At 41.4% G+C, this 18,639-nt stretch overlaps 1 protein-coding gene across 38 annotated transcripts in view; it reads right to left on the bottom strand.

Annotated features, from left to right (window-relative positions):
- ATG7 (autophagy related 7) overlaps positions 1–18,639 on the bottom strand; it is a 303,957-nt gene that overhangs the window by 221,176 nt on the left and 64,142 nt on the right. For 31 of the 38 annotated variants that reach the window (XR_007095622.1, XR_007095623.1, NM_001349238.2 and 28 more), the window contains 3 exons: positions 14,443–14,533; positions 12,899–13,043; positions 7,143–7,301 (listed from right to left, as the gene is read on the bottom strand). Coding sequence is in view for 36 of the 38 variants with exons in the window: in NM_001349232.2 (NP_001336161.1) it covers positions 7,143–7,301; positions 12,899–13,043; positions 14,443–14,533 (395 nt within the window). In the remaining 2 variants the exon portion in view is untranslated. The remainder of the gene's footprint in view (positions 1–7,142; positions 7,302–12,898; positions 13,044–14,442; positions 14,534–18,639) is intronic. The other 7 variants (NM_001349237.2, XM_047447304.1, XM_047447301.1 and 4 more) reach the window with 1 other exon arrangement.

Raw genomic sequence — 18,639 nt, 5'->3', positions numbered from 1 at the left:
GCTCATAGCTCTCTGGTAGTGTGTTTTTGCCTGGTCTGACGAGAGTCGTGCTGTGAGTACACACAGCTCGCTATTCAGTCAAAGACTCAAGGTGCTACCGAGGCACTCCTGTGCACAGCTCCCTCATTTCTGGTACTACGTCCTGCAAATTCCAGCCACCTCAGCTGCTCTGAATTCTGGTTGTTTCCTCAGCTCACTGAGACCAAGAGAATCTCCCTGGGCTCTCACGGGCTATGGCATGGGCCAGAAAGTGCCTTCATGTTATAAGCTGGGACAAATCTTTCCTTCCCTCTGTCTGGGACCACAGTCTTTCACTACCTATGACCATAGTCTTTCACTACCTACTGTTCACTGTCTGAAAAGAGTAATTTTACGTATTTTGTCCCAGCGTGTAATTGTTTATGGTGGCAGAGCTAGTCCAGTATCCACTACTCATTAGGGTTGAAGCAGATGTCCAGATTTGGGTTTTAAAACCTCAAGTGTGGCTCCATAATCCAACATCTTTTTTTTTTTTTTTTTTTTTTTTTGGTGAGATGGAGTCTCACTCTGTGACCAGACTGGAGTGCAGTGGCGTGATCTCGGCTCACTGCAACCTCTGACTTCCGGGTTCAAGCGATTCTCCTGCCTCAGCCTCCCAAGTAGCTGAGAGTACAGGTGTGCGCCACCACGCCCAGCTAATTTTTGTATTTTTAGTAGAGACGGGGTTTCACCATGTTGGCCAGGATGGATCTCAATCTCTTGACTTCGTGATCCACCCGCCTCAGCCTCCCAAAGCACTGGGATTACAGGCGTGAGCAATTGCGCCCGGCCTCATAATCTGACATCTTATTGCCTCAAATAGCTATATGATTTATAAAAGATCAGTTGTTTTCTTATTCAATTTACTCTTCCCCAGGATCAGGTGTGGTATCTGTAGCAGAGCGCTTCTTTTCATGTAATTTTATCATAGCTTTTTTAAAGGCACCTGGAAAGGGTCAATATGACACCTATGTCCTGGAGTAGAAGAGAAGGAATTAGTGAAAGAATACCATGCAGATAAAATGCAAGGGTTTCTTATGAGCTGACATTTGACATACTGGAAGGTCTGGGGCCAGAATACGGTTAGTCTGGGATACATATATTTTAGAGCAAAAAACAAATGTCAAACTCTCTAGTTCTGAGGGAGTGTTTAAGGCTTTTCAGGCCAGCTACCCAGTGAAACCACCCTGTCCTTGAAGTCTGTCACCCAGAAGAAGCAGGGTAAAGGGTGCTCATGACCTCCTGGTACACTTCTTTGTATTTCCTGTGTTAGTCCATTTCACACTGCTATAAAGGAATATTTGAAGCAATTAAATGAAAAGAGGTTTATTTGGCTTATGGTTCTCCAGGTTGTATGAGAAGTACAGTGCTGGCATCTGCTTCTGATGAGGGAAGCTTCCACTCATGGTGAAAGGTGAAGGGGGATCAGATGCATCACATGGCAAGGGAGGGAAAAAGAGAGATGCCAGGCTCTTTCAAACAACTAGCTCTCGCTCACGTGAACTAAGAGGTCGAGAACTCACTCATTAATGTGGAGAGGGCACCAAGCCATTCATGAGGGATCCACCTCCATGACCCAAACACCTCCCACCAGGCCCCACCTCCAACAGTGAGGATCACAATTCAACATGAGATTTGGAGAGGACAAACATCCAAATCAAATCATTTCCTATGAATTTACTATTTCAAAATTTAAACTTTTTCTTTTTTCTTTTTTGAGACAGAGTCTCACTCTGTCGCCAGGCTGGAGTGCAGTGGTGCAATCTCAGCTTACTGCAACCTCCGCCTCTCAGTTCAAATGATTCTCCTGCCTCAGCCTCCTGAGTAGCTGGGACTACAGGTGCACGCCACCACACTCAGCTAATTTTTGTATTTTTAGTAGTAGAGACAGGGTTTCACCATGTTGGCCAGGATGGTCTCGATCTCTTGACCTCGTGATCCACCCGCCTCAGCCTCCCAAAGTGCTGGGATTATAGGCATCAGCCACTGTGCCCGGCCCAAAATTTAAACATTTTTAAAGGGGCTATCACCCATTATTTTTTTCTTTTCCAAGTCAAATGTCACTCGACTTCAAGCACTGAGATTAGAATCTTGCAATAACTTAACAAGTAAGGAATACCCCAAATTAGATAATCTTGCATTAATAAAACCAATCTTTCTAACTTTTCCAGGTAACCAAATATCTAGGAAGTCTGCATTTAACACAGTTCTTACCTTCAAAAGGCCAATTTTCTTCCCTGGAATGCTCCTCCTGGCCACTGGCCTTTCCCACCACTCTCTGGTCCTTGCCTCCCTCCTCAAGACCTCTTCTGATCAATTCCTTCAGAGCTTGGACCAAATGTTACTTCCTTAAGAAGGCTTTCCCTGGCACATGCCCCACACTTGTCCAGGTCCTGCTCTTCTATATTTCCTGAGCAATGTCTACTTATCCCTTTTAGCATTTAGTATTTCAATTATAATTCAATAAAATATAAGCTCTATGAGGGCAGAACCATGTCTTGTTTACTTAGGTCAAGCCTTTTCTCCGTGGCCTGGTAGAAGGAAGGTGATGAATAAGTATCTGTTGAATGAAGAAACTATACTAAATCCAGTGAGATACCATCTAACACAAGTTAGAATGGTGATCATTAAAAAGTCAGGAAACAACAGGTGCTGGAGAGGATGTGGAAAAATAGGAACACTTTTACACTGTTGGTGGGACTGTAAACTAGTTTAACCATTGTGCAAGACAGTGTGGCGATTACTCAAGGATCTAGAACTAGAAATACTATTTGACCCAACCATCCCATTACTGGGTATATACCCAAAGAATTATAAATCATGCTGCTATAAAGACACATGCACACATATGTTTATTGCGGCACTATTCACAATAGCAAAGACTTGGAACCAACCCAAATGTCCATCAATGATAGACTGGATTAAGAAAATGTGGCACATATACACCATGGAATACTATGCAACCATAAAGAAGGATGAGTTCATGTCCTTTGTAGGGACATGGATGAAGCTGGAAATCATCATTCTGAGCAAATTATCACAAAGACAGAAAACCAAACACCGCGTGTTCTCACTCATATGTGGGAATTGAACAATGAGCACACTTGGACACAGGATGGGGAACATCACACACAAGTGCCTGTCGTGGCGTGGAGGGAGGGGGGAGGGATAGCATTAGGATATATACCTAATGTAAATGATGAGTTGATGGGTGCAGCACACCAACATGGCACATGTATACATATGTAACAAACCTGCATGTTGTGCACATGTACCCTAGAACTTAAAGTATAATAAAAAAAAAAAAAGAAACTATACTAAATCAAGCATATAAGGAAAGCCCCTTAAGGCTGGCTAACCAATAAGTTAAATAGTTTCGCAAGTATTTTTCATGAACGTGATGAATTACACCAGTACTTTGATGGGTTGTGTATATTATCTCCTATTATTTATAAGGCATGAAGGATAAAAGTATAAAAGACTTGGACCGTGGCCTGGGGGACTTAATAGTCCAACAGGGAAAACAGAGTAACACAATGTAAGTGTGAAGGAAGAGGCTCGATGCCAGGGGGCTGTTTCCAAGAACAGTTGGACTTGCTCTCTCAGGCCCAGCATGGCGTCCCTTGCTCCCACCTCAGCCTTCTCTTCCTCCTCATCTTCTTTGACCTCTATGTTGCAGCCACCCTGGTTTTCTTTCAGTTCCACAAAAGTACCACACTCATCCTACCTCAGGCATTTGCACAGACAGCTCTGCTACCCTCAATCTAGCTAACTCCCACTCATCCTTCAGGGGTTTGTTTTCTCAAGTCTTCCCAGTCCACCCCTCATCTAGGTCAGGCCTACCTGTTATATATTCTCATGGCAACTGAGCTCCTGCTTCCTGCATGTATTACAATGATAAGTATTTGTGAAATTATTTGTTAATGACCATCCCCCACTAGACTTTAAGCTCCACATGTCTGTCTAGTTCCCCTGTCCCTGGAACACGGGAGGTCTTAAATACACTACCTGACACGCAAGTAAGTAATAGAGCAACTAAACAAATAAACAGTGGGAAGGGGGAATTGTATTGGGTCACTGACAATGACTAGGATTTGAGTAAACAAAAATTTCAGGCATCTAATAAGTGACAGAGCTCAGGTTCAAAGCCAGGTCTGTCTGGGTCCTAAAGGGAGTTCATAATACTCTCCAACGATAGATTGGATCACTGCTTTTTTTTTTTTTTTTTTTTTTTTTGGGCTAGGGTCTCAACTAGGTTGCCCAGGCTGGTCTCGAACTTCTGGCCTTAAGCGATCTCCTCCCACTTCAGCCTCCCAAAGCACTGGGTTTCCAAGCTTCAGCCACTGTGCGCAGCCTAGACTGGATTATTCTTCCCAATTAGGCACCTCCTCCCTCTAGTAATATTATATATCCTCACTCTTTGCAACATGACCTTTGCAAGACCTCCTACCAGGAAGAGTACATTGACTAATGTCATTGACTTTGGGCTTGGTCCTGTGACTCGCTTTGGTAACAGAAATGGAAGACATTGCACTGTACCACTGTTGAGCTAAGACTTTAAGGCATAATAATCACCAACCCTTTTAAGCTTAAACCTTCCACCATAGGAAGAGTAGGACCCACATGACTGTTCCTCCTTTAGCCTAGATTTTGAAAATAACACATACAATGGACTGGAACCTGACTCGAAGTTATGTGGCTTATTGAGTAAGTTCAGCCTAGTGACACAGCTGAACCACAGCCAACCTGCACACCCATGAACATGAAATAAATGTTTGCAATTGTAAGCCACTGAGATTTTGGGATTGTGTGATATGCAATATTGTCACAGCAGAAATCTAACTAATATGCCTCCTCAATGACAGGGTTGCAACGTATTCTTATTTTTTTCAGCATTTAGCACATAGCTGGCTACACAGTGGGTGGTCAATTAATACTGTTAAACCCAAGATGATGTTCCTCAGGGACTCTAGTGAAATGGACAAAAACATTAACAATGCTTCTAAAGCAAAGATTTTTAAAATGGATGAATCTAATACAAAGTGACTAAAGAGAGAAACTTTGAGAAAGTGGGTTTTTTTGTTTGTTTTGTTAGGACTGAGAACCTCTTCTGGCACTTTAAGTATAAGCAAATGCTCTGGAGACACCTAATCTAACTCCTGTCAGATAAAATGATTAAGTTTTCAAGAGGCAGGATATCATTTGCTGGTTGACCTTAAAAAAAGAAAACTGTCAAGATTTTAAATGAAAGGAGCTGAATGACTTTTCTCTTGTTATCTGGTATTTCTAATGATATAACTCAAAAACCAGAAGCAGCTAGAGCAAAAAGCTAAACTTTCAGCCCAATCTTTCTTCTTCATGAAGACTTGCATTCAATTTAATTTCATAAACCTGTACTAAGTAACCACCAAGTATCCTGGTGATGGAGGAAAAATAACACATTAGATCTGAGCCACTGTAAACCTCTTTGGAACCAGGCAGGATATAAAAATATATACACTCCTAAATTCCTCAACTTAAACTCATAATGCTGTGCAACTTACAAAACATTTATTCATACATTCCTTTCGTTTTCACAAGAATATGTGAGATGGATTATTTATTATTATTATTATTATATAGACAGTGTTTTGCCTTGTCACCGAGGCTTGAGTGAAATGGCATGATCACAGCTCAAAATCTGCAGCCTTGACCACCTAGGCTCAAGCAATCCTTTTGTTTCAGCCACTAGTGTAGCTGGGACTACAGATGCACACCACCACCACACCTGGCTAATTTTATTTTAAAGAGATAGGGTCTCACTATGTCTCCCAGGCTGGTCCCAAACTCCTGGGCTCAAGTAAGCCTCCTGCCTTAGCCTCCCAAAGTGCTAGTGAGAGGTGAAACCAGCTGGACTTCCTGGGTTGAGTGGGGACTTGGGAGAACTTTTCTGTCTAGCTAGAGGATTGTAAATGCACCAGTCAGCACTCTGTAGAAACGCACCAATCAGCGCTGTGTGTCTAGCTAAAGGATTGTAAATGCACCAATCAGCACTCTGTAAAAACACACCAATCAGCACTCTGTGTCTAGCTAGAGGACTGTAAACGCACCAATCAGCACTCTGTAAAAACACACCAATCAGCGCTCTGTGTCTAGCTAGAGGATTGTAAACACACCAATCAGCACTCTGTAAAAACTCACCAGTCAGCACTGTGTCTAGCTGGAGGATTGTAAACGCACCAATCAGCACTCTGTAAAAACATACCAATCAGCGCTCTATGTCTAGCTAAAGGATTGTAAATGCACCAGTCAGAACTCTGTAAAAAGGCATCAGTCAGCGCTCTGTGTCTAGCTAAAGGTTTGTAAACGCACCAATCAACACTCTGTAAAACTGACCAATCAGCACCCTGTAAGATGGACCAATCAGTAGGACGTGGGTGGGGACAAATCAGGGAATAAAAACTGGCCACCCCAGCCAGCAGCAGCAACCCACTTGGGTCCCCTTCCACGCTGTGGAAGCTTTGTTCTTTTGTTCTTCACAATAAATCTTGCTGCTGCTCACTCTTTGGGTCCACACCACCTTTAAGAGCTGTAACATGCGAACGTCCGTGGCTTCATTCTTAAAGTCAGCGAGACTATGAACCCACCAAACTCCAGACACATCTGAAGGAACAAACTCCAGACACATCATCTTTAAGAGCTGTAACACTCACTGCGAAGGTCTGCAGCTTCATTCTTGAAGTCAGCAAGACCAAGAACCCACCGGAAGGAACCCCACGAACCCACTGGAAGGAAGAAACTCCAGACACATCTGAAGGAACAAACTCTGGACACATCATCTTTAAGAGCTGTAACACTCACTGCGAAGGTCCGCGGCTTCATTCTTGAAGTCAGCAAGACCAAGAACGCACTGAAGGAACCAACTCCAGACACACTGGGATTGCAGGTATGAGCCACCATGCCTGACCTGGTTGTGTTTTTTTATCCCTCTCTGAGATGAGGAAACAGAGGTTCAGCCACATAGCGAGTGGCTGGTAGAAAGTGACAGATATCTGACTCTCTTTCTTCAATGCCACAGGCCTCATTTCCCAAGACTTAAACATTTATACATATAACAGAAAACCTCTGCAAAAGCAACAACATACCACACCGGGGAATATTTTCTGGAGCCGGTCCGCTGCTGCCAGAGCCTTGGGCTTACCACCCCCTAGGCAATCTTCAAACTCATAGAGAGGCTGCCTCACAGGATTGGAGTAGGAGATCTTGGCATTGTCCACAAATGTGATGTGTCTCACGCCCCAACCCTGTGTGGAAACAGGAGATCATGGTGTGTTTCTGATGAACATTTCACAGGGTGCTGTCTCTTGAAATCTCAAAAAGAATATTGGTTTGGAGAAGCTTGGGAACCTCAAAACACAAGAAACTTCAGAAACTGAATTGTGCAAATTCAGGTTACGATAAACAGAATGTTGACTTTCCTTAGAAAACAACATAATTATATACTCAGTGCCTGGTTTCCTGTAATAAGACTAAAAAATGTCAAGTGGAACAGACTAATAATTATTTTTGACAGTGTCACCAAAGATTTGGAGGTGAATCCCATAAGAATTGTCTATGTTGTTGTTTTAAAAAGATTAGCAATAGCCCCTAAATGTCCTTGATTTCCCTTAACGAATAATTAAGTATAAATAACAACTACTCTTGAAGCTCATTTAAAGCCTGAATGAACTCCTCCAAAAAATGACTCACAAATTATTTCCCACTGTATGATATTTTAGAACATTTTGTACCATTTCTTCAAGAGGCAAAGCCTTATTAATAATCTGGAATTTAGGGAACAAGTCTATATTCTTAGAAATAGTTTTCACGGTTTTATAGACTTCAATTATGTCTCCTATAACAGTTTTATAAAACCATACGATTTTAAAGGTAGATGGGATCTCTAAAATCCTTGGTCCAATTACTTTGTTTTACAGATATGGAAACTGATGCCCAGGAAAGATAAGTGATTTGCCTAAGAGATACATCTGGTTAATGGTGGGAATGAATGAGCTCTCCAGAGGTGCAACCAAATGAAGTTGCCTACTTCTTGGGGTAGGGTACAGTGGGTATATTTTAGTAGATCATAAGTAAGCATACTGACCTAAGAGATGTCCTGCCATGACTGGCTACAAGGCTAAGATTCTGCTCTCTCTTATTTCAATATCTTTCCATTAGAAACTGAGAGACTCAATTAGATTGAAGGTTTCAGAGATCCAGCCAACAAGGACCCAAGATTTGTTTTCTGTGTCGAGAACGACAGGCCAGAATCTGCCTTTCATAAGCATAGGTTAGACTGACTGTTTTGAAGCCCACTGGTAACCTTTTGGTCTACCCACCCAGTTTTGTAAATTATTTTCATCATCTAAGCAACCTACCATGGAGGCAGAATAAAGTCACTTGTGCTTGCTTTGGGAATGTTTATTTCTGAAGTATTTTTGCATTCCTTAAAGCAACTGATGAGTGGATAGCAAGGAAGGCACTCTGGGAACGTGCTGGGTAGTGGGAAGAAAGCCAGATACATTACAAACATGCCATAGGTTAGTCACATGCAGGTGTATTTGCACACACTTAACTTTTGGTTTCCTGGAATGCTACACAGTTTAAATGGCTAATCTGCAAAGATTAAAGAAAATCACAATACTCAATGCTGGTGAGGATGTGGTAGGGAGAAAATCATCCTACTGATTGAGAATGTTAAAGTGGTCTAATCTTCCTGGAAAGCAATTTGGCAGTATGTTTCTAGAATCTTAAGAATACCCATATCCTATGACCTATTTCCAGCAATTTATCCTAAGAAATAATCTGACATACTGACCAAGATGCAGTCACAAAGATGTTCTTTGCAGCACAATTTACAATTGTAAAAAACTGGAAACAATGTTAATGCTGAACATTAGGAGAAGGGTTCAGTAAGTTATGTTTCATCCTATCAGAAGGCATATTCTACAGTCATAAAGCTTTAGCAGACATTGCAGTGAACTCATGCAGTCCTGACTACTCGGGAGGCCAAGGTGGGAACATCACAAGGTCCAGTCCAGCCTGGGCAACAAAGCCAGAACCTGTCCCAAAAAATAAAAAGGCCTCATAGACAGGCATCATTTTTAATGACATGTTAATTGGTAAGAGCAAAGGACATTATTATATATCTAATAAAATGTTAAAATACACATTAAACACTGAAATGTGACAAGTGAAAAAGCGGTAGGAAAATGAGTGTCTTCTTTCCTGCTTTATGACTTTTATATTTTCTATAATGGCTTTATGTTGACTTTGAAATTTTGAAAAATGTTAGGAAAATCTAAGCATCTAAAAATTCTAGAACCTAGAAAAAGACAGTAAAATAAATTCCACAGAAGGAGGAAAAAATTAATAAAGATAAAAGTAGATATTTACGAATCTGAAAGCAAAATGAGACAGAAACAAAAATTATAGAATAAATAAAGTAATGCTCCAAAAAAACTGATAGACAAGCCTCTCTAGCAAGGCTTAATATGAGGAAAAAAGAGAAAACACAAATATACAACATTAGGAATATGAAAAGATTTTTTAAAAGATAAAAGGAAGATTTAAAAGAGAATACCATATGTATTTTATGTCAATTAATTTTTAAAGCTAGAAAAGCAGTACAAAATCTAAAAAGGTGAGTCAACACAGAAACATCTGTAAAAGTTTACAAAGATTCCCACCACCCTTACTACCCCAACCAACAAAATTCTTTTATTTTATTTTTGAGACAGAGTCCTGCTCTGTCACCCAGGCTGGAGTGCAGTGGCGCTATCTCCGCTCACTGCAAGCTCCACCTCCTGGGTTCACGCCATTCTCCTGCCTCAGCCTCCCGAGTAGCTGGGACCACAGGCGCCTGCCACCATGCCCGGCTAATTTTTTTTTGTATTTTTAGTAGAGACGGGGTTTCAACCGTGTTCTCCAGGATGGTCTCGATCTCCTGACCTCATGATCCGCCCGCCTCGGCCTCCCAAAGTGCTGGGATTACAGGCGTGAGCCACCGTGCCCGGCCCAACAAAATTCTTAAATGCATCAGGCCCAGACGGATTTATAACTGAATTTTACCTAACCATCAAAGAACAGATAATTCATTTATTTAAATTGTTCTGGAACTTAGAAAAAGGCAGAACGTTTTAAGTTTATTTTATAAAGCTAGCATAATGTAGCTATAAAATATACAAAGATAGAACAAGGAATAACATGACTATAAACCAATTTGACTTATGAAGTGAGATGTAAAATTTATTGGTTAATTGATCGGTTGATTGAGACAGTGTCTTGCTTTATCACGCAGGCTGGAGAGCAGTGGCACGATCTTGGCTCACTACAGCCTCAACCTCCTGGTCTGAGGCAATCCTTCCACCTCAGCTCCCGAGCAGCTGCAACTACAGGCACGCGCCACTACAGCCTGGCTAATTTTTATATTTTTTTTGTAGAGATGGAGTTTCGCCACGTTGTGCAGGCTGGTCTCGAACTCCTGAGCTCAAACGATCCGCCCACCTTGGCCTCCCAAACTGCTGGGATTGCAGGTGTGAGCCACCGTGCCCGGCCAAAATGTAACATTTAAAAACAAAACATTACTAATTGAATTCAAGAGTATATGAGAAGAATAAGATACCACGTACAAATAGGGTTTATTCTAGGAATGCTCAACATTAGAATACTTTGTCTTGATAAACGTAGTTGATAAAGCTCGACATTTCTGATATAAACGTGCAGAAACAGAAATCAGCTTCTTTAAATTATAAAGAACACTTACCAGAAACCAACATCAAAATTAAAGATAAAAACAAGAGGCACTCTCATTAAAGTCAGCAATAAAACAAAGATATCAACTCTCACTGCCATTCTTCTACATTACTGTGGAGTTCTAGCCAATCTTATAAGACAAGGAAAAGGAAGATATAAGTGTTGGTGAGGAATACTATTAAGCTACAAAAGAATCAAAAAACTCTTAGAACTAAGAGAGTTTAGAAAGATGGCCAAAGACAAATATGCAAAATTCACTATTTTTCCTACATCCCAGTAATAGTCAACTGGAAAGTTTAACGGGAGAAAATATCTCTAAAGGAAAAAACATCATTAAATATGCAGAAATACCATATTTAAACCCAATTAGATACATGGAAGGCCTATATAAAGAAAATGCTACTGAAAAACAAAGATGATCTAATTAAGAGATACACCATGCTCCCAGAACTAAGGATTAATGTCATAAAAATACATCAATCCCTTCTAATTTATCTATAAATTCATTGTAATTTCAACTAAAACAGTGAGCATGAATATAGGAATAAAAAAATAGATCAATGAGTCAAAATAGAGAATCCATAAAGAGACTCAGGTATATAAGGGGGTTTAGCATTTGATAAAGACAGAAAAATGATGATTTAGATTACTGAATAAATGCCATTAAAACAACTAACAATCCATTTTGTGCAAAAGTAGCTAGATCTTTACCCCTTATCATGTAACCAAAAAATTTCCACATTCATAAAGCTCTAACATAAAAACAAGAGTTCCATAACCCACAAAGGAAAAGACTGACACATATAATAACATAAAGCTGAAAAAAACTTTTATATGGCTAAAGACACCTTAGATAAACTGAGAAAAATATTTGCATCATATTACAGAAAAAAGGTTAATTGCCCCAATAAAAAGAACTCTAAATCAATAAAAGACACAACCCAAAGAACATGAATAAAAGAAATAAAACTCACAAAAGAAATAAAATTAAACTCACCCTTGCTAATTAAAGAAACACAAATTCAAACAATAAATGTTACTTAACTGACTGAGATTTCAAAAGTTGATATATCCAGTTTTGGCAAGAGCGTGGAAAAAAGTTCTGTGTCTCATATGTGTAACATTTTTGGAAGGCAATTTCGTTTGAAAAACATGTTTGGCCAGGCGTGGTGGCTCACACCTGTAAACCCAGCACTTTGGGAGGCCAAGGCAGGCGGATCACTTGAGGGCAAGAGTTCAAGACCAGCCTGGACAACATGATGAAACCCCGTCTCTACTAAAAATACAAAAATTAGCCAAGTGTAATGGTGCACACCTGTAGTCCCAGCTACTCGGGAAGTTGAGGCAGGAGAATCGCTGAACTCAGGAGGTGGAGGTTGCAGTGAGCTGAGATCATGCCACTGCACTCCAGCCTGGGTGACAGAGTGAGACTTTGTCTCAAAAAAAAAAAAAATTAATGACAAACAAATATATAAAATATTGACATTCAAATTCTATACTCTCTCTAACACAGTAATTCTATGTCCAGGGTTTTTTTCCTAAAAAAAAAAATCCTATGGATATATAAACATACAAGTATAAGAATGTTCTCTAATAGAGAACAGTATCTAATAGAAAAAAATAGAAAGTAATCTGAAATTGATTAAATAAAGAACATAGTCATACAACAAAATACTACACATACATACTATGGAAACACAGAAAGGTAGCTACAGTCATTTTTCTATCTAGTTAAAAATAAAAACCTGTTATAGATAGTATGCTATGATCTAATCTTTATAAATACAAATAAATATCAGCAAAGATACTGATTTCTCTATATTTAGATATGTCTACAATAACATCTGGGAAAAAGGCTGCATACTAATCTACAAAGTCTGCTTAATAGGAAATGGGACTTGCGATGGGTGTGGAGGACTTTCTGTTTCTATCTGATGATAAAAGGTTGTATTTCTTTTACACTTAAAAAGATAAGAAAAGGAAAAAGGAAGGGAGGGAGAGATGGAGGGGATGGGGAGCTGGGAGATGGAAGGCAATCATGAGAGTAAAACAAGAAGAGAAGCTACAACTTCAAAGGTGCCATTTGCACCCCCCACCTCCGACTTACCATCAACGTCCTAGCTACATTGCAACCCAAGGTGCCGGCTCCAAGCAGCAGACATTTGACAGACACAACCTTGTCCAAGTCTAAAGTAGGAACCAATCTCCAACACATCAGTTTGAGATTTAGATCCACTGATGACTCAGCTAACCTAGAAAAGGAGAGATTTACTTATTCAGTCACTCCTTTATGCAATAATCTTGTTCTGAAAGATTTCAAGTGGCTATGCAAGAAAATAAGAAATAATAAGGAAATTGGGATCAAAGGAAAAAGAAAATTAAACTGGAGGGTAAGCAGGGAGGAGAAAGCTTCCCACCCAGCAGCATGCTGTTGGAGTCCTCTGCAACGAGGGGGCCACAGATTTGATACTGAGTTCCAGCAGCCAAGGTGAAAAGGGAAGAGCATGACCAGTGATAGGAATCATGGTGTCCATGAATAAAAACACACCATCTGATTAAGAGGAAAGTTTTTCCTAGTACTGAAAACAGAAATTTCTCCCATATCTCCTTAATAAGGCCTCCCATATCTCCTGCGCTCAGGCCAGGCACAGCGGCTCACGCCTGTAATCCTAGCGCTTTGGGAGGCCAAAGCGGGCGGATCACCTGAGGTCAGGAGTTCGAGACCAGCCTAGCCAACATGGTAAAACCCTCTCTCTACTAAAATTACAAAAATTAGCTAGGTGTGGTGGCAGGCGCCTGTAATCCCAGCTACTCAGGAGGCTGAGGCAGGAGATTCACTTGAACCCGGGAAGCAGAGGTTGCAGTGAGCCAAGATCATGCCACTGCACTCCAGCTTGGGCAACAGGAGTGAAACTCTGTCTCAAAAAAAAAGAAAAAAAAAAAAGAGTGCACTGAGATTCGCCCTTAAACACAATACTGGCTTCCATGAAATAATTCTTCTAATATCCTTCAAGGTGGGCCAATAAGGGCTGGGTGTGGTGGCTCATGCCTGTAATCCCAGCACTTTGGGAGGCCGAGGCAGGTGGATCACGAGGTCAGGAGTTCGAGTCCAGCCTGGGCAACACAGTGAAACCCTGTCTCTACTAAAATACAAAAAATTAGCAGGGCATGGTGGCGCGTGCCTGTAATCCCAGCTACTCAGGAGGCTGAGGCAGGAGAATCACTTGAACCCAGGAGGCAGAGGTTGCAGTGAGCAGAGATTGCGCCATTGTATTCCAGCCTGCACAGTGCAAGACTCTGTCTGGGGCGGGGTGGGGGACGGGGCGGGGGAGTGGGCCAATAGGACCAAGCTAGAGGACAATGCATAAAGGACTGAACGGCAGTACAGGTACGCTGGTGGTCTGAGAGCATGAGCTTTAAACAAGAACAAAATTTAGAATGTCTAGAACAGATGAAGAGTGTGCCCTTCAGGATATGCATTGTTAATATTAATTCTCACAACCAAACTTCAATTGAAGAGCAGAGTAACACACGGCAGCATGACTGGCACCCCCTGGGCTGAATTACACAATGTTGTGTTGGCCTGACAGAACTTGGTGTGTGTCTTGGTTACAAAAAGCCCGACTGGAGAAAACAGCTTCCCAAATATACCTTTTAGGGTCCATACATTCACTGAGGTTCACCATCCTTGGTCCCATGCCTCCTTTCTGGTTCTTTTCCCATCCAACTGCTTTAGGACAATCTTAAGGCAAATAAAACACAAAGTTTAATGAAGGAGGGAAGAATAAAAACAAGCAGATCAAGCAACGACCTTACATAAAAAAGATCGACATTCATAATGGCCCATGCATTGACAAGCTTTTGGTTTGCTTCTTTCTAAAAGAGACTTGAGGGCCTGAATTTCCACAGACTTGCCACAGTTGCCTCCCCATCTTTCCCAACTACTGGGAATCTTGTTTAGGGACCATCAAACCCAAGCAATCTTCCTGTACAGGAGCTTCTGAAATAGCCCTCAACTCTGGCCCAAGGTGGCTCAACTTTCACTGTTATTGGAAGTTGCTGAAAAAAAAAAAAAGACAATCTTTTCTGGGGTAGGTATAACCCCACTGAGGCTTCTCTATCTAAGCAAGCCAAGCCAATGTAACTGCAGCACCCCTTCACTGAGGTTCCTATTGGGATTTGAACCTTAAATTAAGTATGTCCCTTCTGTACCTGTGAGCAGATCACAGTCCAAGGTGACTGTCATTTGATTAAGCTGCCCTTTCCTTTAAGCTCATCTTTATCCATTCAGAAGTTTCCCTTCCCTGACTTCTCCCTTCCCCGCAGCCCTCTTTTAATCCCTGCTATGGGAGCCTCTGTAACTCCAATTAACTCCAATTCTAGCAGTTCCCAAAGTGTGTCCTATTCAATAATCTCAGAGGATAAGGATCCTGTAGCTAAACAGACTTTGGAAATGCTTCTATACTTATATCTGTCTTCTATATCCAGCCCCCACTACCACTCAAACCTGGCCATTCACATTGCACATGAGGGAGATAAAAGCTCTGAGAAACCTGCAGTACAGAACCCACGTGATTTGATTTGGCTTTGTGTTTCCCACACTTACGTGGCTCTCCATATCTCCCTTCATTTCCCTGTATACCAATTACAATCTCAAGGGACACATTCAGGGAAACACTGCTGTATTCTACTGTTGCAAAATTCTCTTAAACATCTCAATTGCTTTGCAGAACACACCTGCTACCTTCTCATGTTAATGAAAGCTTTGCTTGCCTTGGTGGAACCACAGCCTTGTAAATCTTGCTAGTGGATCCCACTCTCTTGCGCTCCCTACATCTCAGGACCTCTGCTACTCCCCCTTTCTCATTGAATTCCCACTGCTCACAATAAAACCTGAACTACTAAGCAAGAAATTCACCCCACCACAGCCTACACTTCCAGCATCACCTCCACTGTCTGCCTTAAGCAACAGACTCTGCAGGAAGAGAAACTCCTTGACTTGAAGTTAAGATGTATGGGACTGGGGGAATTTTAATTTTGTTTCTAATTATACGCTGGTTTTCTTTTCTTTTCTTTTTTTTTTTTTTTTTTGAAACAGAGTCTCGCTCTGTCGCCCAGGCTGGAGTGCAGTGGCGCGATTTTGGCTCACTGCAAGCTCCACCTCCTGGGTTCACGCCATTCTCCTGTCTCAGCCTCCCGAGTAGCTGGGAGTACACGCGCCCGCCAGCATGCCCGGCTAATTTTTTGTATTTTCAGTAGAGATGGTGCTTTACCGTGTTAGCCAGGATGGTCTTGATCTCCTGACCTCGTGATCCACCCGCCTTGGCCTCCCAAAGTGGTGGGATTACAGGCATGAGTTACCACGCCCGGCCTGTACACTGGTTTTCTTTGTCCATTCTCCTACTTTTGAATTTCTATCAAGATCACAATTTTCCTTTCCTTGGGAAACTTTTCAGCTGTTGACATTTAAAAAAATAGTATTGCCCAATATAATTACGGGACCTAGAAGGTACTGATTTCCTTTACACGATCTTTTGTTTCTGGGATAGGACGGTCAATGAGAAACCATAGGACCAATTATCCTTGAAAGCTAGTTGGGCCCCAGTTTGGCTGAGGGTATCATTCACAGCAAGAAGCCAGAAAACAAACGTCCTTCCCCCTTTTAAATCGGGCACTCTGATGTGGTATTTTTTAATGCCATGAAAAATTAAAACTGAAATAATAGAGTTTTCTTGTTTGAGACAGGGTCTTGCTATGTTGCTGAAGCTGGTCTTGAACTCCTGGGCTCAAGTGATCCTCCAGCTTCAGCCTTCGGAGCAGCTAGGATTACAGGCATGAGCCACCATACCCAGTCAGATTTGAGTTTCATAAAGAGGTTAAGACTTCAGAATTGTTTTTCTGTGGGGAAAAAAAAGAGTTCCCACCTGCCATTAATTGATATTTTGTTTGATTTTATTACTACTCTTAGATTCAATTAAAAATGTGTCTCTTAACATCAAAGACATGGAATCTGCTTAAATGCCCATCAATGACAGACTGGATAAAGAAAATGTGGTACACACACACCATGAAATACTATGCAGCCATAAAAAAAGAACGAGATCATGTCTTTTGCAGGAACATGGATGGAGCTGGAGGCCATTATCCTTAGCAAACTAGTGCAGGAACAGAAAACCAAATACTACATGTTCTCAGTTATAAGTAGGAGCTAAATGATGAGAACTCATGGACACAAAGGGGAACAGCAGACACTGGGGCCTACTTGAGGGTGAAGGGTGGGAGGAGGGAGAGGATCAGAAAAAATACTAGGTACTAGGTATTAGTACCTGGGTGATCAAATAATCTGTACAACAAACCCCTGGGAAACAAGTTTACTTATATAACAAACCACATATACCCCTGAACCGAAAATAAAAGTTTTTTTTTTAATGTGTCTTTGATACATAGCAAGGAACTTGACAAGAACTACAGAATCACAGCCTAGTATTGTAATCCATAACTCCAGCCTAGGTTTTCTCTTGATACAGGTAAGAAATTATTAGACAAAAATAAGACATAATTTCAAATTAAAAGTTCTCTATACTCAAAAGGTTACAGATGCTGGGCTCATGTCTGTAGTCCCAGCTACTTGGGAGGCTAAGGCAGGAGGAAAGATTGCAGGAGGAAGGATTTAGCCCAGGAGTTCAAGGCCAGCCTGGGCAACATAAGAAGACCTCATCTCTCAAAAAATAATAATAATAATAAAGGCTATAGCCATTTCTAAGAAAATTAGATGCCCTTTAAACTTAATAATGAAAAAAATAACACATATGGCAATAGTATGTAATTTACCATACCTGCATCCATATAATCTATACCTATAAGACATACACCAAATTAAATTATATATATATATATAGAGAGAGAGAGAGAGAGAGCTAGAAAGACAGAGAGACAGACAGAGTCTTGCTGTCTCGCCAGGCTGGAGTGCAGTGGCACTTATCTTGGCTCACTGCAACCTCCGCCTCCCAGGTTCAAGCGATTCTCCTGCCTCAGCCTCCTGAGTAGCTGCGACTACAGGTGCGCACCACCATGCCCAGCTAATTTTTGTATTTTTAGTAGAGACGGGGTTTCACCATGTTGGCCAGGATGGTCTCAATCTCCTGACCTCATGATCCGCCTGCCTTGGCCTCCCAAAATGCTGGGATTACAGGCATGAGCAACCACACCTGGCCAAGAAAATATTTTTTAGGAAAAAATTAGGTGCTGTCTCCCATAGTGGGCAAGCAGGAGCAGCACAAGAAAAAACAGAGTTAAGATGGGATCTCTACCCGCAGCAGTGTCTGCCATCTTCCTCCACCAGGTGCCAGAGCTGTAACACAACACACCATGAGGAAGCAAAAGAAGACATAGGATATTTAAAATAATACTCCTCGACTGCGCAAGGTAGCTCACACCTGTAGTCCCAGCACTTTGGGTGGCTGAGGCTAGAGGATTGCTTGAGCCCAGGAGTTCAAGACCAGCCTGGGCAACATAGTGAAACCCTGTCTCTGCAAAAAATACAAAAATTAGTTGGGTGTGGTGGCACATGCCTGTAGTCCCAGATACTCGGGAAGCTAAGCTGGGGGGATGGTTTGAGCCTGGGAGGTCAAGGCTGCAGTGAGCTATGATTTTGCCACTGCACTCACTCCAGCCTGGGTGACAGGTCAAGACCCTGTCTCAAAAAATAAAATAAAATAAAATAATTTAAAATAATACTCCTTATACCATTACCATGGCAACTATGGGATGTCTTAGAAGTATTGAAAAGTACAACCATACTTATATTTTCAGTTTACATTATGATATAGAAAAATTCTTTATGAAGTT

This window comes from Homo sapiens, chromosome 3 (assembly GCF_000001405.40).
Source record: "Homo sapiens chromosome 3, GRCh38.p14 Primary Assembly".
Classification (NCBI taxonomy): domain Eukaryota; kingdom Metazoa; phylum Chordata; class Mammalia; order Primates; family Hominidae; genus Homo; species Homo sapiens.
The sequence above is the reverse complement of the archived record's forward strand: the minus strand, read 5'-3'. Positions and strand labels throughout refer to the sequence as shown.